The sequence below is a fragment of the Homo sapiens genome, chromosome 6 (genome assembly GCF_000001405.40).
Source record: "Homo sapiens chromosome 6, GRCh38.p14 Primary Assembly".
NCBI lineage: Eukaryota > Metazoa > Chordata > Mammalia > Primates > Hominidae > Homo > Homo sapiens.
The window spans coordinates 21,189,078-21,212,105 of record NC_000006.12 but is presented as its reverse complement, the minus strand read 5'-3'; the positions used below and the strand labels follow the sequence as shown (position 1 = coordinate 21,212,105).

Genomic DNA, 23,028 nt, shown 5'->3' with positions numbered 1-23,028 from the left:
AACTTTCACTATACTATGCTCATGCCCAAAAACTTTCCCACATGTAGCCAGGCACGGAGGCTCACACCTGTAATCCCAGCACTCTAAGAGGCTGAGGCTGGAGCATTGCTTGAGCCCAGGTGTTTGAGACCAGCCTGGGTAACATAATGAGACCTCATCTCTACAAAAAATAAAAAAAAAATTAGCCAGGCACAGTGGCGCATGTCTGAAGTCCCAGCTACTTGGGAGGCTGAGGTGGGAGGATCACTTGAGCCCGGGAAGTAGAGACTACAAGTCAGCCAAGATTGCACCACTGCACTCCAGAGCCTGGGTGACAGAATGAGACTCTGTCTCAAAAACAAAGCAAAACAAAATATTCCCACATGCATGATAGAAACTTCTAGTATTCACCCATATCTTCTCCTTCTTATTAAAACAAAAGTAGGTATTTTCTAGACTCTTGTAGTTAGACAGGGCCATGTGGATGTTCTGGCCAATGAATATGAATACAAATACCATGTGCCACTCCTGTGCTGAGGCAGTAAAAAGCCTGGTTCACCGGCAATCGTCTTTCCTTACCATGGAGACATGCAGTCAACTTGGGTCCCTGAGTGACTGTGTGGAGCAGACAACTACCTGACTCTAAACTACAAACTAAATGGTACATCTTAGATGCTCAGTGTGAGCAGGAAATAAACCTCTGTTATGTTAGCCCTGAGATTTCAGGGTTAATTTGTTACCGAAGCGCAGCCTAACCTGTCTTGGACGAATATATGTGCTTGTCTAATGTCTTAGGTATAAATCCTATTTGACTTCAAAACCCAGAGGTCCCAGTCTTTATACTAAAGGTGATTTCCCTGTGCCTTCCAACTGCCCACAACTTCTTAGTCTGTGCATTCTGTCACGTTGCGTTGGTTCCTTTCACAGTGAGAAAAATTTCCTTCTTTACTTGCCTGATTAAGTTCTTCTCACCTTCAAAGTCCATATCCATGAAACTCTCTGTAGTAGAAGTTGTCTGAAAACCCTCTCCACATTGACAGTTCCCCATGACTACAGATGCCAAAAATGATTTTCCAACCTCCTTTGTCCCCAGGGTGTAAATGTGAGACTTGGGTTCCACAGTCAGATGTGATATATGTGAGACATTGACTGGGAAGCTTCATGAGGAAGCAGATGGGGCATGGGGCCTCTGCCTTGCTGGGGGAGGTGGAGCAGAGGCGACACCTCTTACCAGAAGCTCCTGTGTGGTTCTGGGTGTTGTTTCTGGAAAACTCAGCAAAGATTCTGGTCCCTGGCCCTTCTAACAATTCTGTGGGCCATCTAGCATCCTTTCATACATTCCTTCCTGTTTAACTAAACTGCTCTCTGTTGTCTGCAAAGAATCCTGACCCATACATTTCCTGATACCTCAAGTCATCAGAGATCTCCTATCTTCCAACTTCTTATGATCTAACGCCAACCAATTTAACATTTGACATATTATAGATTTTGTTTCATATGTACATACTGTCTTAGTTCGTTTCGGTGACTGTAACAAAATGCCATAAACTGGGTAGCTTTTAAACAACAGATATTTATTTCTCACTGTTTTAGAAGCTGGGAAATCTAAGATCAAGGTGCCAGCAGATTTGGTGTCTGGTGGGGGCCAGATTTCTAGTTTATAGACAGAGTCTTCTTGCTGTGTCCTCACACAATGGAAGGGTCAAGGCAGCTCTCTGGAGCCTTCATTAGTATGGTATAAAGGTACTAATCCTCATCATGAAGGCTCCGCCCTCATGACCTAACCACCTCCCAAAGGCTCCAGCTCCTAACACCATCACATGAGTGATTAGGTTTCAACACTGAACTTTGGGAAGACACCAACATTCAGACCACAGCAGCACATATCTTCTCTTCCCAACTAGACTTTATCTCCTTGAGGGCAGGATGGTATCTCCAACTTCTGTATCCCAAGCAGTGCTTGACACAGCGCTGGCTCAACTTTTGGAATTTATAGGATGACCATATAATTTATCATCCAAACTAGAATACTTTGAGGAGTGGAATAAGGGCATATTATTAATACTATTACAACACGTATAAACCAGGACTGATGCAGACAGTCCTGACACAGACAGATATTATCAAGGCACAATTAGTTCTTTGATGCATACAGTGTCATACTCGTCATTGATAATTGTTGACTGAGTGAAAAGGTAAAGACATGTGAAGGGGAAATAGTGCAGTGAAAATGTGAGTGTGGAAGAGTGGTTCCCAACACCTGGGTTCAAATCATCACAGGAAATCATGGTCTTCTGGAACCTCCCTAGTCCCATCCTGCAGGGATAGGTGGCTGGGCTTAGATGACCTTTCAGGTTCTGCTGCTGCTGAAATATATCTTTGGTTCTCCTAAGGAGGCTTTTTTTCCATTCACTGCTTTCATGATAAAGAATCCCTTTTGCTCTTAAGGGATCCCTTTTAGATTTGGGAAAATTATCCATAAAACTTTAACCACAGGAGTAATTATGTCGCACAGGTGAGCTAGCATACCTATACAAGACCACTTCCCTCACACCAATCCCTCCCTACCAGGGTCACAATTGATTAGCAGTATTACCAGAGGAACAGCCAAGACCAAAAACTTCTCGAAGACCAAGCCCATATTCATTATTTCCATCTCTAAGATTTCATTCCGTTCCTGGATAATAAACATTGAAACATATTATAAGAGGCCAGGTGCTACCTGCATGTTGCATATGTAAGTAATTCAGGCTCGGGGGCCTGGTTCTTTTCCTTAGCGCTTAGCTAGGGAAGTCGGTCCACGTCTTTGTCCCAGGCTCACTGCTCCTTCTGCCTCCTATCTTGAACGTGGACAAAGGATGGAGAGGTGGGGAAAATGCCTGCTCAGTCCCATCCTATGATGCCTCTATGTGGGTGTGTACAGCTGTATAAAGAACTTCATCGTGTTCTAGCTGCCCTAGGCCAGGCTAGAATAATAAACTGAAGTAATACGAGTAAAGAGCCTCAATACCAAGCACATAGTAGTGGTTCACTAAATGGTAGCTATTATTATTATCAAGGCACAATTAGTTCCCTGATGCATGCAATTTCCCTCACGATGCTCCAGCTACAACCCTCAGGAGGAAGAGAATTATCATCAGTGATTGCACAATTAGTGATGCAAGTGAAATGAAAGCTAATTGTTTAGCATCAGCTTGCTCTGATGATACTTTGGATGGTACTCAAATTGGTACACGGAAGGTATTGTAAACACACTAAACACAGTGTGAAGTGACAGTCATACTAATTCAGCTGCAACGGTCAATAAAATATAGCTCAGCAGCATAGAATAAAAGCTATGTATCTAGACTGTGAAACTCAAATACGTCCTAACCAGTCTGTAAAAGAAACTAACAAGATACAAAATGAAAGAAAAATGCATAAAATATTAAACGTACTATGGTTTTAATTGTTTGTGACGTGAACTTAGCAGCGATGAAGAATTTAGTCTCACATAAAGTTTAGTAAGAAAAAAAAGGAACAGAAAAAACTGCTTGGGAGCCAGTTATCTTGGGGGTGGAAGGAAAAATAGGAAGAAACACGCCCTCATTTGCTTCTAGCACGGTTAGCTGACCTGTCTGAAATTAGACCCACTTTCAAGTGTTTTAACTTAATTATTAAGCCATTTCTTAACCTCATGAATGTAGTTTTCATGTGCTTTCAAATCTGGCCTTGAACTAATAGACCCTTTCACTTCACTGGTTCTGGAAATGAATGTCAGATGGAGAGGAAAACATTTTAACTGTGTTTTTCCAAGGGTCAAAGCTCTGAGAATATAGTATAGTTTGTACATAAAACTCAGTACACCTGAATATCCTGCTGGCCTTTGTCTGGTAATGAAGCAAACCATGCCACCCTTTAAAACTTCTGCTTCCTTTCCAAGCGCGGTCGGCTGTGTCAGGGCTGAGCTATCTAACTGCTCAAGTGAATCCATTCTCAGGATCAAAGTCTCAATAGATGAGAAACAGGTGGCACTGAGGCACCCTGGGGCAGCCTTCTCTTAACTTGTAAGAAAGAGAATGGTAAGTCCAGGCCTCCATTCTAGAATATTCTCTTTAAAAAAAAAAAAAGACATAAAGAGTAAGAGGAAGAAATGTCTGTCCGTAAGAATGGCCAACGCTGTAGTAGTATTATTGGAATCTCCTTCTGTTAATTTGTCATTCTCATGGAGGAATCTCAGCAGTTGGTCTGGTTTCATCTGCCATTGTCAGAAATCTATGGCTGATGAATACAACATTTGAAATGATAAGATATTGGGCAACTTTTACTTCACAAGTTAAAGTAAAATAATGCCTTGGCATGCACCACAAATTAATAATGAAAATAGTAGTCAATATTTATTGACTGCTAAGCCATTTCCATGTATATCCTATGAAGCAGGTAGTACTATCACTCATTTACATAGGGAGAACTGAGGTGGAGGGACATTGAGTAACTTGCCCAAGATCATATTTTTTGTAATAGTAGAATCAAGATTCAAACCTGGGTAATCGGAATCCAGAATTCATGTTCTTAATTGCTATACTATAATGTACAGTGAAATCCATGAACGCAAAGTACTTTTTTTTTGCTTGAGATAAGGTTTCATTCTTTCACCCAGGCTGGGCTGCAGTGGCTCCCTGCAGCCTCGACCCTCTGGGGCCAAGTGATCCTCCCACCTCGGCCTCCCAAGTAGCTGAGACTACAGGTATACACCATCACACTCGGCTAATTTTTAAAATTGTTATAGAGATGAAGTCTCCCAATGGTGCTAGGCTGTTCTTAAACCTTGGGGTCAAGCACTCCTCCTGCCTTGGCCTCCTGAAGTGCTGGGATTACAGGCGTGAACCACTGCATCAGGCTGCAAAGTACTTAAAAAAAAAAAAATTTAAAGTAGGCCGGGTGTGGTGCCTCACGCCTCTAATCCCTGCACTTTGGAAGGCTGAGGCAGGTGGATCACTTGAGGCCAGGAGTTTGAGAGCAGCCTGGCCAACATGGTGAAACCCTGTTTCTACTAAAAATACAAAAATTAGCTGGGTGTGGTGGTGCATGCATGTAGTTCCAGCTATTCCAGAGGCTGAGGTACGAGAATCACTTGAACCCAGGAGGCGAAGGTGGCAGTGAGCCGAGATCGCGCCTGGGTGACACAGTGAGACTCTGTCTAAAAAGAAAAAAAAAAGAAATTAAAGTAAAAGAAATCAAAATAAAAGCCAGGAAACCACTGCTTTTTAAAGTGATACTTACTGAATTCTTTCTTTAAAATATTTAATATACCTACTATGCATGGTGCACTTTGTCTACATGATTTAACTTAATCCTCTGCAAATCAGTTGTTAGCTCCATTATACAAATGAAGACACTGTGAGTCAAGAAAGTTGTACTTGATCATAGCAACTGTCACTGTAATTAGAACCCAAACCTGACAGACTCCAGATCCTTTCAATCTTCCACGATGCTACTCTACTTCTTTCTTTAAAGCAATTTTTACTACTAAGAATGAATTCAATGAAAAAAAACTTTGCAATCAAACTATTCATAAGTTTAAAATTAGAAGAGAAAATGTTCTTTTCTATCTCGTACCAGGCAAAGAATAGTTCTGACTTCTTAAGAATCAATCTTAGAAATGGTAAGATTCAAGCGATGTGTTATAACATAGGCCAGACAAGAAGAAAGAACATTAGTAGTAAAACTAGTTAGCCTTTATTAAAACAGACAGCAGTAATGTTCACATTGTCGCATATTCCTAAGAGAGACAGATCTCTAATGCCATTTTTAACTGAACCCACAGAGAAGATAATTAAAACTGCCCATTTTCTCATTTTTTTCCCTCTCTCTCTTACTTATTATTTTTTTGTATCCAGTGTAAGTTTACTCTGGTATACAAAAAGAAACTGGTGTCCAGAAGTTATCGAATAAGACTCCTGCAATTAAAATGGGCAAGGCAGTATGGACCTGGGCTTAAAAATACAGGCTTGACTGGTCCGGTGTGGTGGCTCACGCCTGTAATCCCAGCACTTTGGGAGGCTAAGGCGGGCGGATCACAAGGTCAGGAGATAGAGACCATGGTGAAACCCCGTCTCTACTAAAATACAAAGAAAAAAAAAAAATTAGCCGGGCGCGGTGGCGGGTGCCTGTAGTCCCAGCTATTCGGGAGGTTGAGGCAGGAGAATGGCGTGAACCCGGGAGGCGGAGCTTGTGGTGAGCCAAGATCGCGCCACTGCACTCCAGCCTGGGCGACAGAGCAAGACTCTGTCTCAAAAAAAAAAAAAAAAAAAAAAGGCTGGGCGCGGGGGCTCACGCATGTAATCCCAGCACTTTGGGAGGCCAAGGCGGGCAGATCACGAGGTCAGGAGATCGAGACCATCCTGGCTAACACAGTGAAACCCCGTCTCTACTAAAAATACAAAACAATTAGCTGGGCGTGGTGGCGGGTTCCTGTGGTCCCAGCTACTCGGGAGGCTGCGGCAGGAGAATGGCGTGAACCCAGGAGGCGGAGCTTACAGTGAGCCGAGATCAGGCCACTGCACTCCAGCCTGGGCGACAGGGCGAGACTCTGTCTCAAAAAAAACAAAACAAAACAGGCTTGACCCATGCGGATTAGGATGGCTACTATCAAAACAAAACAAAACAAAACAAAAGAGAAAATAAGTGTTGGTGTGAATGTGGAGAGACTGGAACCCTTGTGCACTATTGGTGGAAATGTAAAATGGTACCGCTGCCATGGAAAACAGTATGGCAGCTCCTCAAAAGATTAAAAATAGAGGACCATACAATCCAGCAATCTTATTTCTGCACAAATATCCAAAAGAATTGAGAGCAGGGACTCGAAGAGATATCTGTGCACCCATGTTCATAGCAAATATTATTCATAACAGCCAAATGGTAGAAGCAACCTAAATGTCCACCAATGGATGAATGAATTAATGAAATGTGGCATCCACATCCAATGGAATAGTATTTAGCCTTGAAAAGGAGGAAAATTCTGACACGTGCTACAACATGGATGAACCCTGAGGACATTATGCTAAGTGAAATAAGCAAGTCACAAAAAGACAAACACTGGTGAGCATATGATTCCACTGATATGAGGTACCAAAAGTAATCAAATTCATAGAGGCGGAAAGTAGATTAGAAGTTACCAGGGGCTGAGGGAAGGGGGAAATGAGGAGTTATTGTTTAATGAGTACAGGGTTTCAGTTTTGCAAGATGGAAAGTTCTGGAGATGGGTTGTACAACAATGAGAATGTACTTAACACCACTAACTATACACTTACAAATGAGTAAGACAGGAAATTTTATGTTACGTATATTTTACCACAATTAAAACACACAAAAACGAAAACAAAGGCTTGAAAGTGGGGATATAAATCCTGGCTTCCCTCTTCTACCTTCAAATTTTGTGACTCCAGATAAGCTATTTATTGAATTATGGATGCTCAGATTCCTTATTTGTGAAATGGGGATAATAATAGTGCCTTCCTCTCAGGGTTATGAGGGCGATATGAGTGAACACATGTAGCATATTTAGCATGGTATTTGGCTACGATAAGCACGCCATAAATGTTGACTTAGGGTCCTAGCAGTAGGTATGGAGTATTTAGCCAATAACAATTATGGGTAATGATTTTAAAATTTGACAATATATTGGGATTATGTTTGTAAAAGGAATCTTTATCTTTTAGAGGTATTTACTAGTATATTTCTAGATGAAATAAAATGTAAATGGGATTTTCTTCAAAATAATCAGGGTTGGGGGAATAGGGGTAGATAAGAACACAGATGGCATAAGATTGGCTGTCATCTGATGACTGCTAAGGGTGGGTAATAGGTATGTGGGATTATTATACTATTCTCTCTACTTTCGTGTATGCTTGAAAATGTTCATAAAATTTCCATAAATAGATTTCCATAATGGAATTAAACAAAAAAATCCTTGATCCCAATCTTTGATGATGGCTTTCAGATAATTTTTCAAACTATTACATGGTCATGGATTTGGTATTGCTGACCCCACGTCCTGTCTATCTACAGTTTTTCTTCAGGAAAAATTAGGCTGCATGTGAGCACAAGATAAAAATATTGATGTTCTTAGCATCTTAAAACTGTGTTTTTCTCAAGTTTCCTATTCTTCTGCCCCTTTCACTAAAAATGTGCATATAACCTTCACCCATTCCCACCATCATTTTGATAACACCCTTCTAATCTGTTGTACCTCTCATCAATTTCATCAAAAGAGGTCAAGTGATTAGCCGGGTGTGGTGGCGCACGCCTGTAATCCCAGCTACTCGGGAGGCTGAGGCAGGAGAATCGCTTGAACCTGGAAGGTGGAGGTTGCAGTGAGATCATGCTATTGCACTCCAGCCTGGGCGACAAGCAAAACTTCATTTCAGGAAAAAAAAAAAAAAAAAAAAAAAAAAGAGGTCAAGTGAGACAAAATAAGTCCAAAGCACAGTATTTTGCTTTAGATGCCAGGGAGACCAAGGTGGGAGGACCGTTTGAGGCCTGGAGTTCAAGACGAACTTGGGCAACAAAGCGAGATCCTGTCTCTAGAAAAAATAAACAGTATCAGCTGGGGCCGAGCACAGTGGCTCATGTCTGTAATTCCAGCACTTTGGGAAGCTGAAGTGGGCGGATCACCTGAGGTCAGGGGTTCGAGACCAGCCTGGCCGACATGGTGAAACCCTGTCTCTACTAAAAATAAAAAATTAGCCGGGCGTAGTGGCACATGCCTGTAATTCCAGCTACTCAGGAGGCTGAGGCATGAGAATTGCTTGAACTTGGGGGGTGGAGGCTGCAGTGAGCTGACACTGCATGCCACTGCACTCCAGGCTGGGCAACAGAGTGAGACTCTGACTCAAAAAAAAAAAAAAAAAAAAAAAAAAAAAAAAAAAAATTAGCCAGGATGGTGGTGCATGCCTATAGTCCCAGCTACTCAGGAAGCTGATGTGGGACGATTGCTTGCGCCCAGGAGGCAGAGTTTGCAATGAGCTGTGATCACACCATTGCACTCCAGCCTGGGTGACAGAGGGAGACCCTCTCTCAAAACAAACAAACAAACAAGAACCAACAAAAGCCTTACTGTTTCTCTTAATGTAAATACCCAAATCAATATTCCTACCCCACTGGCCTCATGCTACAACACTATTTCTAGAGGCTCTAACAGACCAGCAACCAACTGGCTTCCTCATCTTATCCGGGACTTTTGGGCCATTCTGGTTCAGAGCTGGGCTGGTGGTAGAACTGATAACACCATTTTCTAGGCTAGAGGAAAGGATGGGAGAGTAGAAAGGGTGCCCCAGAGAATTTAAACGGAACTGCCCTTTTAGACAGTAACACTATAGTTAAGGAACGAATAGAGGGACACTACATTTCCTTGTTTATGTATTATCAATGGTGATGTTTACAATACTCCCTTTCCAAGAGGCAAACATGAAGGAATTAAACCAGGCAGAGTCTTTGAAATAATAATTTCCCCACTACTGCTACTTGCTGAGAAACCCTTTTCACTGTGGCAATCTAAAATTAACCTTGTAAAACACACTATGTGGAAAAACAAAACAAAACAAAAAATAAGCTGACTTCTTAAAAAATTTTTCAAAGTATTGGCTAACATATCAAAAGCCAAATCTCTAGCAATATAATTTAAATGCCAGGTTACACTGCTCCTTCCTGGCCACCCATACTATCCCCCAAGTACAATTTTTTTTTTTTTAATAAACAGCAAAAATGAATGGTTATGTTTATCAAGTTTTAGAGTTATCTCCTGATCATGCAGGCTGATGCATTTGGTAGGATTTTAACAAAAGCTGGTCTATACCATTCCAGTACGGGTTAGACGGCCATGCACGCAGATCCTTCATGGGCACTTGTGAAGCACATGTGAATTATCACTGCTGTCGGACACAAGAATCCAGTGCCACAGTCAGTGAGAACACAGACAATAGTATTGTCTTTGTTGCTATTGCCAGAGTGAAGCGGTACTATTGCCAGAGTGAAGCGGTATTCCCTTTATTTTAACGAACATGTCCTTGCAATTTATTTTGAGGAACAAGATTATGCACAGATTAAAACAATTTCGGAATTACATGGCCAGATAAATATCAGTTATTTTTTTCCATATGTTAAATCACTGTTATATGCTTTTTTTTTTTAAGCGCTTAACAATTGTGTTGGAGAAAGGACATCAAATGATGCTTAGAAATGTGATACACATTTTCATTTCACACTCCATCAGCTTTTACAACTGTAGCTCAATGAAATGTGAGAGAGCTTGGCAAACGGCCATATTTACCAAGGTATAAAATAGGGGTCAGGTTACTTTTTTATAGAAAGAAAAAAATGTTTAATTTTCACTCCACATGACTAAAGTAGATATCCAGCTAACACCCTTCTGAAAGGCACCATAACTGCATATATGATATGGTTTAGTGCCTGTTCAGCTGTAGGTTTTTACTACAGTATAAACAGCTTTGTAAAGCAAGAAAACACCCCTTTCTTCATCCCCTTCCACTCAGGATCTACTGACATAGAAACATACTGGATCAGATCATCTTTTGGTGTCAACATTTTCACCTGCAAATAATGGCTTTTACCCCCTGCTTCTAAACTGGAAGCAGAAAGAGCTTATTCTCTTTACAGCCAGAGAAGCAAAGCTATCGGCATCAGCAAAAACACATCTTTCTAATTCAGATTTCAATCTGTCAGAAAGGATTAAAGCCTCATGCATACATAAAAAGGGAACTATAAATGATAACAGAAACATGGCCTGGAATCACTGTGCTTCCACAGCTGCTGTTTTACTAGCAGGGTAGAGAGGAGAGCATCTTTTACTTACCTTTGTCAAACCCGAGACTTCTCCCTTTGCTAGCGGTTTGCTGATGGAGGGCGTGTACACTTTGGCATCAGATACTGGCTGCCCTTTCATAAAATGTTTGCCTGATTCATAGATGTCCACTTCAACCATCTTCCCCATGAACGCAGGGTTCTTTGGCACTAAAACCTTAAACACATTTGTTTCAGAGGCTTAATTTTTAAAAATAAACATTTTACTTTAGAACAGTTTCAGATTTATAGAATTATTGCAAAGATAGTATGGAGAGCTCCTGTATACCTAACTCCCAGTTTTCTTATTATTTACCGTCTTACATTAGTATAGCACTTTTGCCACAATTAATGAACCCAAATTGATATATTAATATTATTAACCGAAGGCATACCTAATTATCCAGGTTTCCTCATTGTCCCTCAATGTCATTTTTCTGTTCTGGGATCCCCTACAAAGTGGACTCTATCTTCTAGCTGCTCAAGGGTCTGCAGAGCCTGCAGGAAGGAAAGGCACTCCTGGGAGGGGCTCCTGGGCCCCTGGGCAGTGCTTTTCCAGTGCAGGATGTGCCTGATGTCCTGAGGCACGTGGAAGGCAGACCTGGGAAATCCCCCAGCAATCAGCCAGCCACTTCTGGACAGGCCTTTGATATCTTGCTTTTGGCTATTCCATGCAATGAGGAAAACCGAGACAATACTGATGAAAGCCTTATACTTTTAATACTTTCCAAGTGAGCTGTCAGAGTAATGGTTTGAAAAGACACTTCAAACAGGCCTGCGTGTTTGTGTCCGTGCATGTGTGTGCTGTGTTTTGAGGGAGAAGGAGGTACATTTAAAAGAACCTTCCAATAACACTGTACACTGCTGTTTGGAGCTAAATGACTCCTGAAACTAACAGCTGCCGTTCATTTCCCTTGCTCTGTTAGAAAAGGCATGTGTTTGTCAGTCCTGGGAATCTACCTCCATCTAGAACCAGTCCTCTGAAGGGTACTTTGGCTTGTTCACAGGAAACTGTCAGGTGGTCTCTTTCCACTAGAGATTCCTGATAAAAGTACTTGTTTACTTCAAGCAAACGTTTCCCTTCCTTTGGGACCCACAGGTAGCTTGTGTGTGTGATGTCTCCCTTACACTTCTATTTTAGCACTGCAGCGACTTGCCAGTCTTTTCAAGTTAGAATCCAAAATAAATAGACCAGTTCTAATCCAGTAATACTTGGATATCTAGATACAATCTTCATCTCTGGAACTCATCTTATTTAGAAAAATAATTCCTAGAAAATCTTTGATATGCTTAGTTATAGAGACAGAAAAGTCAGATGAGAGCCAGGAGTTCCACAGCCAATCTCTCTGAAAGGCAAAATTGAATCTTGGTCTGAGTTTGATTTTTATGACCACTGAGTACACTGCTTCATCAAAGTAGAAGAAAAAGGTCACCTGGGTGGTGAATTACTTAGGGCAGGCAAAAAGAACTAAAAGAGCTTTAGTGTTAGGATATAAAAAGCCCATTTAAATCAGTTTTTATAAAATAAGAAAATCTCTAGACCAAACTAACCCTGGGAGATTTGGTACTATTCTGGGGAAAAATAACCCTCCTTGATCTGCTGCCTTGATCTGAATGAAGGGCTCAGTGTTTTCCCCTCCTCCAGTTTTAATAATTGGAAAAAGCCCGACTGCTTTAAATTGGAGGAAGCAGCTAACGAGGCATGCCACTGCCTTTAAAATGAAGGGAAAAAAGTTCCCTGCTGAGGCAAAACCCAGATGGCAAGAGAAAGGAGAGAGAAGAGGCAACCAAAATGCAATCAAGCTCCTCCCCAGGGCTGAGCAGAAGGTTGGCCTGAATAGGAAAATGGCCCTCTGGGGTATATTAATGAGATGGGGAAATGGGGAAGCGATGCAGGCCAGACATGGAGTGCTGGGAGCCCTTCCTCAACTGCAGTCTCCACCGGTACTGAACAGAGCACGTTTAGTCTGGGCTTTGAAAAGCTCCCCTGTTTCCTGGGGACGCACTGCCCAGTCTGAGATGATTCCCTGGGGAATGTCAATGCTGGGGGCCTCTTCAGCTCCTGCTTTCCTGCCTTCTGACACAGGCAGCCTGCTTCCTCTGCCCATCCCTCATCCGACTTGTCCACCTTGGCCTTCAGCATCTTCTCAAGCTCTAATTCCAGCCATGATCCATAGCAAACATTTTCACCTCTTATCTGATAAGAAAGAAGCAAAAAAGTAGGAAGCTCCATTTGATTTTAATACAATCCAGAATGATCAGTGAAAATCTCCGTACGCCCATGACAGTCTCCCACACAGGCTATCATGAGATGGGAGACACAGGCTACCATAAGATGGGAGAGGAGGGCGTATCCCATCTCTTCCCTGGCCTTGGCCCTTGCCAGGGTCAATGACCCTGAAAGAGGCACTCTCTTTTCCTCAGTCACTTTTGAATTGCTCTCCCACCTGGAGGAGTAGAAACCCTGATGCTGAAACAGAAGTCAGGCTCCTCGGTGGGCAAAGGCAGGCCAACTTAGATGGCCAGGGAAGGAGGGCTAGTAATTGGGGGCGCCCCTAGGGATGGCCTTCAAAGCTCTCACAGTGAAGCTGGTTTGATCCTCACACTGGTCTGCACAGTTGTTCATACAATTAGAGTTGAGTCCAAGGAATAGACTCCTTTTCCTCTGCTCCCAGCATTTTTATTAAGGTAGAAGTTAAAAAAACAGATGCTAAAACTAAACAAAACTAAAAAACCAACCAACCAACCAACCAATCAACCAACCAACTAAAAAAACTGTCCGGGTGATGTACCAGCGAGAGGAAATCCCTGCCCTTTCATGCTGCTGTCGCCCATGCAGACATCCTTCCTGTGGTCTGAGCAGGACTTTCCCCCCTGCTTTGCCAGGGTGTGGGAATTCTGGCAGTGCTAATTGCCTGGTTCCAAACGCCCAAAAGCCTAAAGCTGGTCCTGTCAAAGATTAATGTGAACTAAAATAGACTAAATACACCTATTCCTTTGTACAGAACATATTGTAGAGTAAGTCACAAAGATAAAGTCCATGTTAGCCTGGCTGGCTTGAAGCGATAAAACAGCCTTGTTGTGACAAGATTCAACACTCTCCCCTTTAAATGCCCTTTGCTTAAACTTTCAGAACTCTTTCTCACTTTGGAGAAAACTCAAGAATACTGAAGTGCCTCTTACCTGCTCATAGAATTGATTGTGTGCAACATAAAACTTGGAATCAAAAGATTCTTCTGTTACTAACACTTGTTGTCTTTCACCAATCTGTGGAGAGAAGGGGAGGGAAAGAAAGGAAAGATAAGGGTAAACACCTGTGAATCCAAAAATAAAAATAAAGGCTAGCCCAGGTAGGTCTGGACCAAGTAGCGTCTTCTTGAATTTAAAGTAGACTCTACATTGCTGGTTATTTAACAGCGAACCCTGTTCAAATCACGGATTCAAATTTTTTGAAAGACATTAATTATCTGGCAACATAAAATTAGCATAGTATAAACTCTTATTTTCTTACATAACTCTGAAACAGAATTTGATCTCCTTCAACATAAGTAAGATAATTAAAGCTTCTATGACATACAAAAATCTTCTAAATATCACTTTGTTTCCTGAAACAAAGTTGCAAAACAAGCCAGAACAAGCTGCTTCTAATCCAAATTCATGAAAATATTTTGGCAATATGAAAGAATAGTAATAAACATTCATTTGAGTTATGAGGGATGTAACACTAAAGAAAATGCCTCGGAAAACTAGTCATTAGGACCTTGCACCTCCACATTTCATATCTTACATACAATTCTGAAAGTACTGAGTAATTCACAGAGCTATTTACTTATTATATACATTTTCTCTGTCACAGGCAACTGTCTCTTTGCTGCAGTCATGACCCCATGTTCATTTATTATTTTTTAAAGAGAAAGACAGCAAAAACATGGAATTGCTAATTTTCCACAGAATTGATGTACATTATGATCTAGGCACCCATTTTTAATAGCAAAGAAGTAAATCAGCCAAAACAATGGGTAAAGAAGTGTGACTATTCTAAGGAAATTCTATAATTTCCAAGTTTATTCTACTGTGAAATGCAGCACTTAAGGTATCAAGTATTATTATTATTATTATTTTTTTTTTTTGAGACAGAGTCTCACTCTGTCACCCAGGCTAGAGTTCAGTGGCATGATCTTGGCTCACTGCAAATTCCGCCTCCCGGGTTCAAACGATTCTTCTGCCTCAGCCTCCCGAGTAGCTGGGATTACAGGCATGCGCCACTATGCCCGGCTAATTTTTATATTTTTAGTAGAGACGGGGTTTTGCCATGTTGGCCAGGCTGGTCTCGAACTCCTGACCTCAGGTGATCCGCCTGCCTCGGCATCCCAAAGTGCTGGGATTTCAGGCATGAGCCACCATGCCTGGACTCAGTTACTCTTTTTACAAGGTTGTCAAAATGTCTGATACAGCAAAACAACTGTACTGAATGACTGTGCCGGGGATTATTTTTACCAATGCTACTTAATAATTATGACCCCCCCAAATTAAAGCCCACTGGCAAGATAATTTTTTAAAATTCCTATTCTCATTTGTAGGGACTTGTCACCATGTTCAGGCGGTTACCATGAAGGAAACATAAACACAGCTGCACTAAATAGACCACCTAACAATTAAAAAACAAATCAAACTCCCCTCTCTATCATACAATGCCAGTACCTAAATACACCATAATTTACTATCTAGTTTACTATCTCATTCAAAATATAGCCCTCTTAGCCAAAAGTTGTAAGGTCTCTGAGATGACACTTACTAAAGACTCTTTTCACTGTCTGAAAAACAATGGAAGTTCTGGCAACATTAATCCCCTTAAAAAAATCAAGTGTAAAAAAAGAAATTTCCCCCAACTTCCATGTTGAGCTTCAATGGCTCTGTTTATCAAAAAGGGCTGGTGAATATTGGGTATCACTGAAGTATATTCTTCTAGAAGAAAACTTAGAATGTTTGCACACATTTCACAGTGTGAGTTGCTTATGACTTAGGATAAGTATCTGTCAATGGTTCTTAAGGAAATCTGCAATTACACTTCATTTAACATCAAGTTTTCAGGAAATTAACAACAATGTGAAATTGTAGAGCCACTGAAAACTATGCTGCTTCTTTCTTCTTCTTAGAATCAACGTGGAGAGTAAGGCCCATCATGTTTGGGCTGCTCTATTTCATCTGGAGATGATAACAATGACAGTAATATATACAGAGTTAAAAAGACTTGCTATGTTTATATAGTAGAAAGCTGGGCTTTTAATCAACCATAAGAGAACTATTTGTAGGTGAGTATTTAACTATTATTTGCCAAAGAGACTCAGGAGAACCGCAATGTGCACTAATTCATAGTGGCAAACACCTTTTCAGTCATCCTATTTGTGTCCTCAACTGAGGAGTCATCCTATTTGTGTCCCCAGTCTCATTGGCAAGGCCCTTAAAAATCTCCAGAGTGGCCGGGCCCGGTGGCTCATGCCTGTAATCCCAGCACTTTGGGAGGCAGAGGTGGGCAGATCACTTGAGTCCAGGAGTTTGAGACCGCCTGGGTAACATGGCAAAACCCCGTCTCTATAAAAAATACAGAAATTAGCCGAGTGTGGTGGTGTGTGCCTATAGTCCCAGCTACACGAGAGGCTGAAGTGGAAGGATTGCTTGGGCCTGGCAGATTGAGGGTGCAGTGAGTTGTGATCATTCTACTGCATTCCAGCATTGGTGACTGAATAAGACCCTGTCTCAAATAAATAAATAAATAAATAAATAAATAAATAAATAAATAAATAAATAAAAAAAACATCTCCAGAGGCCAGGCACGATGGCTCATGCCTGTAATCCCAGCACCTTGGGAGGCCAGGGCGGGTGGATCACTTGAGGCCAGGAGTTCGAGACCAGCCTGGCCAACGTGGTGAAACCCTGTTTCTACTAAAAATACAAAAGTTAGCCAGGCATGGTGACATGTGCCTGTAGTCCCAGCTACTTGGGAGACTGAGGTGGGAGGATTGCTTGAACCTGGGAGGCAGATGTTGCAGTGAGATGAGATTGCACCCCTGCACTCCAGCCTGGGTGACAGAGTGAGACTCTGTCTCTAAACAAAATCTCCAGAGCATACGGAAAAAAACTGAGCCTAGGAAGGCTAGGGCTTTGATCAAAAGCTGCTGCAATCCGTCCCCACTGCTTAAAATAAATATATGCATACATATATATTATAAATATATAAAACTTGCTTGAGCCCGGGAGTTGGAGGCTGCAGTAAGCTTTGATCATGCCACTGCACTCCAGTCTGGGCAACAGAGTGAGAACCTATCTCAACAAATGAACAAACAAAAAATAATAAATGCTTCCCTCAATATTTTTTAATGAATGAAGTCACACTGAAGTGAAAATCAAATACAACCTTTAAGAGAAACAACTATTCCAAATAATATTAAAGTCAACACTGAAGTTATGGAAGAATGAGTTCAGATGACATTCTGGAAGATGCAACTTCACCTTGGTTGCAAAGGAACTTGTGGGCTAAGGAAACATATACAAGCCTCAAATTTCTTTTTAAAATGAGCCACTTCCCCTACACTTTCTAGATGCTGTCTCTCCCACCCCATATGGTAGCCGTGTGTGGTTAAAGACCCTCACATAACAAAATTGAGAGTAATCATCCTGGCTTGCCATATCCAAACAGTGCCTCTGCTATCTGAGTAAGGAAGTTCTAGTCATAGAACTAAGGCAGGGCATCTGCAGAAAAGTGGCAAGGCTACAGATATCTTCAGGACTCTAAGACCACACCACTCAGTTATCTATTATGCTAATGGCAGAGGTAGTCCACTAGAAGGGATCAGAATTTGTCTTAAAGAGACTCTACACTCATCTGAGAAGCAAACTTCTATGGCTGCCTCACCGTCACTGACAGATCCTTGCCTAACAGCTGAAACTACCAACAGGAAAAGGTTACATCACTGTGAAAAATGGACAAAATCCTGCAAGTAAGGAAGAGGTTGAAAACCATGGTTCTCATAAAATGTGTGACTGGCAGCCTGCTATGGTTTGTCCCTGACAAAACTCATGTTGAAATTTAATTGACAATGTAACAGTGTTGGGAGGCAGTGTCCTTAAGATGTGATTAGGTCATTAGGATCAGTTAATGTCTTTCTCCAGGGACTGAGTTAGTTCTTGAGGGAATGGGTAAGTTCACATGAGAGCCTGGTGTTATAATGTGAGGCTGCCTTTCGTGTGTGGTCTCTTTGAAAGCCCTTCTGCTTTCTGCTGAGTTGAAGCCCTCACTAAATGGGTTGCCTGATCTTGGACTTCTCAGCCTCCAGAATCATGAGCCAAATAAACTTCTTTTCCTTATAAATTATCCAGTCTTGGGTATTTTGTTATAGCAACAGAAAATGAACTAAGACAGAGCACAATGTAATTGTTCAGCAGAAATGTTTAAGATACAACTGAAATTCTAAGTCCAAAGAATGGTCTGGTGGGTGGCGTCAAGAGAATTGTAACATTCAAGGATAGGAAGAAAGGGGAAAGTGATGGATGGACAATGAAAGGTCAGAAGCAGAAGCACACAGTTCTAGCAGAACCCAAGGGAAAAAAGTCTGAAGAGGGTTCTTTGAAATCAACAGATGCCACATATATGGATTGGTCAGTAGGGGACAAAGACACAGGGTCTGAGTGAGATTATTTTTGAGATGAAAGAGACCTGACTATGTTTTGGGCCTTCACTTTCCTCATCTAAAAATGAGAGGTTGGTAGAAGTGGGACGGAAGTAGGGAGAAGAGAGTAGGGCTGTTGAAGGGGAGGTGGATTACAATATTTAAAGATCTTTCAATTGTGAAGTTTAAGTCATTGTTGAAGGTAGATCTGTAGGCTGCGGATCAGCACATCCAAAGGTTTCATAGGAATTAGCTGAAGGAAATTATGTACTCTAATCAAGCCTGTCTCTCTCTTGTTCTCTCTCTCTCTCTCTCTTTTTAAACAGTAAATGTATGCTTACAGCCCTCTGCAAATTACAGCTACCTTCTTGGTGTACTTAAACCAACAACTTGATTTTCAATACAGTACCTGCCAGGAAACAATTACAAGGTGTCTCAAGAGGCTATTGAGTGTCTTGAAGTTTCCTTAAAGAAGCCTGCCAAAATCTCAACAAAGCTTGGCTGGGTGTGGTGGTGGTTCACACCTGTAATCCCAGCATTCGGGGAGGCCAAGGTGGGAGAATCATGTGAGGACAGGAGTTAGAGACTAGCCTGGGCCACATAGCAAGACCTCGTTTCTACAAAAAAATAAAAAAAATTAGCAGGGTGTGGTGGCGCACACCTGTAGTCCCAGCTACTTGGAACACTAAGGCAGGAGGATTGCTTGAGAGTCCAAGAGTTCAAGGTTGCAGTGAGCTATGATTGCACAGCTGCATTCTAGCCTGGGAGACAGAGAAAGATCCTATCTCTAAAAAAAAAAAAAAAAAAAAAGGAACTCTCAACAAAGTATTTTCTTGTAATCCTAAGAAAGATGTCCTTTTCCTTCTGATTTGTTTATAGGCATATAGTTTATGGCTGGTTAAATAAAATGATGTTTATTTAATTTCTGTAACATGCTAGAGGTTAAAAGCTTCTGTTGAGAATACAAATGCTATAGTATTTCCAAGGGAAACTCAGTTTCCATTTACAAAGCTTTGCCTTTTAAGAGATCTGTCAGGAAAGTAACTGATTGTAGTAACTTGATTGTAGCTCTCTGAAGTAAGGGACAATTCTTACCTTCAGAGCTTATTCCTTTACTGAATTCAGTTCTATGGACTTTTGAAAGTGGCTGTTGGTTCTGGCACCTGCTTTAACAAGCTAGGCATACTTTACAATTTATTCATCAAATGTAAGTAGAGAAAGTAATTTTTTCCTAGGATGTACAGAACTTCATTTCATCATTTTAACGTTATTTAAAGATATTTTATGAAAAATGAATTATGGCCGGGCGCGGTGGCTCACGCCTGTAATCCCAGCACTTTGGGAGGCCGAGGCGGGTGGATCATGAGGTCAGGAGATCGAGACCATCCTGGCTAACAAGGTGAAACCCCGTCTCTACTAAAAATACAAAAAATTAGCCGGGCGCGGTGGTGGGCGCCTGTAGTCCCAGCTACTCGGGAGGCTGAGGCAGGAGAATGGCGTGAACCCGGGAAGCGGAGCTTGCAGTGAGCCGAGATTGCGCCACTGCAGTCCGCAGTCCGGCCTGGGCGACAGAGCGAGACTCCGTCTCAAAAAAAAAAAAAAAAAAAAAAAAAAAAAAAAAAAAAAAAGAAAAATGAATTATAAAAATATTCCTGTAAAACTATCCCTTGCTTTCTCTGACTCGGTCACTAAAGTGAAGGAAGGCGCAGGAAACGTCTCTACAAGACCCTGCATTACTGCTGACCTCTCAGGGCTGCTGGGAAACACGGCCCCCAGCTGTGAAAGAATGAGTGTGCTACAATTTTCTAGGCCTTGTTGAAAAGATATGAGAAAAGCTCTTATACTTTTTTTTTTTTTTTTAATGAAAACCACAAAGGCAGAAAATAAAAGCAGTATTCCCCTAGACAGACAAAGAAAGTAAGATGTTGGAGGGAGCTTAGCAATCTCTCTGATTTCACAGGGAGAGAACTAAGGTCTGGCAAGATGGGTGATTTGCTCAGTGGCAGTGGCAGTGGCAGAAGAAAGGGAAGTCTTTGAACTCTTCCCACTACTCAATGCTTCCTATTTAATTGCTAGCTGTGGAAAACTTACAACATCACGGATCTAATTCTGCAGTGTATGACTTTTCCTTGAGCAGAGAAACGTCTGTGACAAACAAATAGCAATGTTTTTAAATTCAATTTTGGGGTAGATTTTTCAGTAAGTTACATAATCAGCTAGCTGTGTCATTTGTGTCACATCTATGCTTAAATTTCCCAAGTGCCTGAAGTTGTGAAAAACATCAGTTCTAACCATATGGCCAGAGAGTGCAGATAAAACACACACTTGCATTTAAAAAGCAGTGGTTTCCAACAGAATTTGGTTGCTGAATGAATGGTCCTCAAGTACACTCTAAGTCATCATTTGCCCTGAAACAAACAATATTCTACAAGGCTATATAAGGATATAAAGAGAGAAACAGAATTGTGTGAAGAAACGCAGACATTACTCAAATTAAACAAAGACATCAGGGTATTTGGGCTAATACTTTTAACTCAGTAAGAAATGTTGCTTGCAAAAGTATTCTTTGGACTAGAAAAAGCAAAAGGTTTCTCTTAAACTCATATATGGCTTTAAACATAAACTGTATGTAAAGTTGCTCTTCTCTTTATAACTTTTTTTTCTTCTTACTTTCACTTTACTTAAACAGAAAGCCTGACGTGGCTTTGGAAAATAATGTCAATCAATTTCTATTCTGAGATGCTGAGTTACAAAAAGATTTCAATATTACTATTTAAATAGAGTAACAAAAAATTCACAAAGGACGTAGATATATGGACCTGTGTAAGATAGACATTTGTTTCTTGAAAATGGTGTTAAGGAAGAAAGAAACTATTTTGTTTCCCTTTAAGAGCTGCTGACAATTATTTTTTCTGTCCATTCTCTTCCTAAGGCAAAGATTAAAACACATATCAGCCCGGGCGCAGCGGCTCACGCCTGTAATCCCAGAACTTTGGGAGGCCGAGGCGGGTGGATCACCTGAGGTCAGGAGTTCAAGACCAGCTTAGCCAACATGATGAAACTCCATCTCTACAAAAATACAAAAATTAGCCAGGTGCGGTGGCAGATGCCTGTAATCCCAGCTACTCGGGAGGCTGAGGCAGGAGAATCGCTTGAACCTGGGAGGCAGATGGTGCAGTGAGCTGAGATCACGCCATTGCACTCCAGCCTGGGCGACAAGAATGAGACTCCGTCTCAAAAAAAAAAACAAAAAAAACCCCACACATATCAAAAGTTCCTGTAATCATTTACATCATGGTTCTAATAAACTTGAATTTTATCTGTGCTTATCCTACAGAATATTCTGACATGCTATTTCTGCAGCTAAGTTTTGCCTTTTATTGTAGAAAATAAAATACAATTTTTCGACCTGACTGGTTTCTGAATGTATGACTCTGGGAAATGTCAAATGTCTTTCTTTAGCTCCAGTCAAATTAGTTTTTTTTTTTCCCCCCTAAGCTGCCTGGAACATGTTAAATACAAGGCTGTGACCTTCAACTCTGAAATAATATTTCTAGTGTCTGTGCAAAAGCCTGCCCTCACATACACCTTTAGACTAATTACTGCAGTGTAATGTTGCCAGTGAACCGCTGTAATTACACTTGGAGAAAAGTATGGTCTTGTTCTTTCCTAGCTAATGAAAATGATAACCTTTCCATTTTGATTCCTCATTCACAACAGGCAGAGCACGCGATGCTGGGTCTCCTGGGTATACAGTAATTTTCCTGACTGTTTATGCTCACTTCTATTTTCTGGCCCTGCAGAAGCTGGAATTAAAGAACCAGGCATACTTATGCTAAAAACGGTCAACAGTAATAATAGCAATAACATTAAAATTTAATATCATCCTTACTCCACAATGCCATTCTATAATGAAATAGGGCCATGACACAAGAATGTGTGTCAAAAATGATGATAGCATAGAAAACAAGTAATGAGCCTTTAAGTCCATCGTATTCAAAATGCTAGCCATCAATTTGTTGGTCTACTTAAGGGTTCTTAAGAGAAGATGTTGGACAGTTTATTCTCAAAGCGCTAGACTGGTTAACTGATTCTTAAACAATGACAAAAAAAGGCATTCATTAGATTATTTGAAAACATTGTCCTCTGTGGAAAAAAAATTCTTTAGATACACTTATTAATAGATATAAATGTACTCAAAAGGGGAAGAATGTTCCTTTGAAGTGGAGTAGCCATATTTTTAAGTATATATGCTTATCTATTAATTGCCATGAGTATCTTAGTAGCTTTATTTCTTCTTTCTTTGCATTTCAGAAATAACCTAAGTAGAAAGAAAAATTGTAAAACAATTTGGCTTTTCAAAAGTTATTCTTCCCTTCTTTGTGCAGTGATACAAGATACAAAGACCAGGCCCGAGGCAGTTCTACTGAATCAGACCATGAAGTTTCTTCTAACAAGAATCTCCTTGTGCTTTTCTTCACGCTGGTTGGTTTTCTTCTAGCCGTGTCTACCCCAGTAAGAGGAAGACAATCCGAGGTAGTCT

At 41.1% G+C, this 23,028-nt stretch overlaps 1 protein-coding gene across 14 annotated transcripts in view; it reads right to left on the bottom strand.

Moving 5' to 3' along the window:
- The window catches only part of CDKAL1 (CDKAL1 threonylcarbamoyladenosine tRNA methylthiotransferase), a 697,948-nt gene that overhangs the window by 20,299 nt on the left and 654,621 nt on the right, over positions 1-23,028 (bottom strand). For 8 of the 14 annotated variants that reach the window (XM_047418947.1, XM_047418948.1, XM_024446481.2 and 5 more), the window contains 2 exons: positions 14,002-14,085; positions 11,517-13,015 (listed from right to left, as the gene is read on the bottom strand). In XM_047418947.1, coding sequence (XP_047274903.1) covers positions 12,617-13,015; positions 14,002-14,085 — 483 coding nt within the window. In that variant the 3' untranslated portion in view covers positions 11,517-12,616. Of the gene's footprint in view, positions 1-10,831; positions 10,997-11,516; positions 13,016-14,001; positions 14,086-23,028 lie in introns of those variants that run through there. The other 6 variants (XM_047418949.1, XM_047418952.1, NM_017774.3 and 3 more) reach the window with 1 other exon arrangement.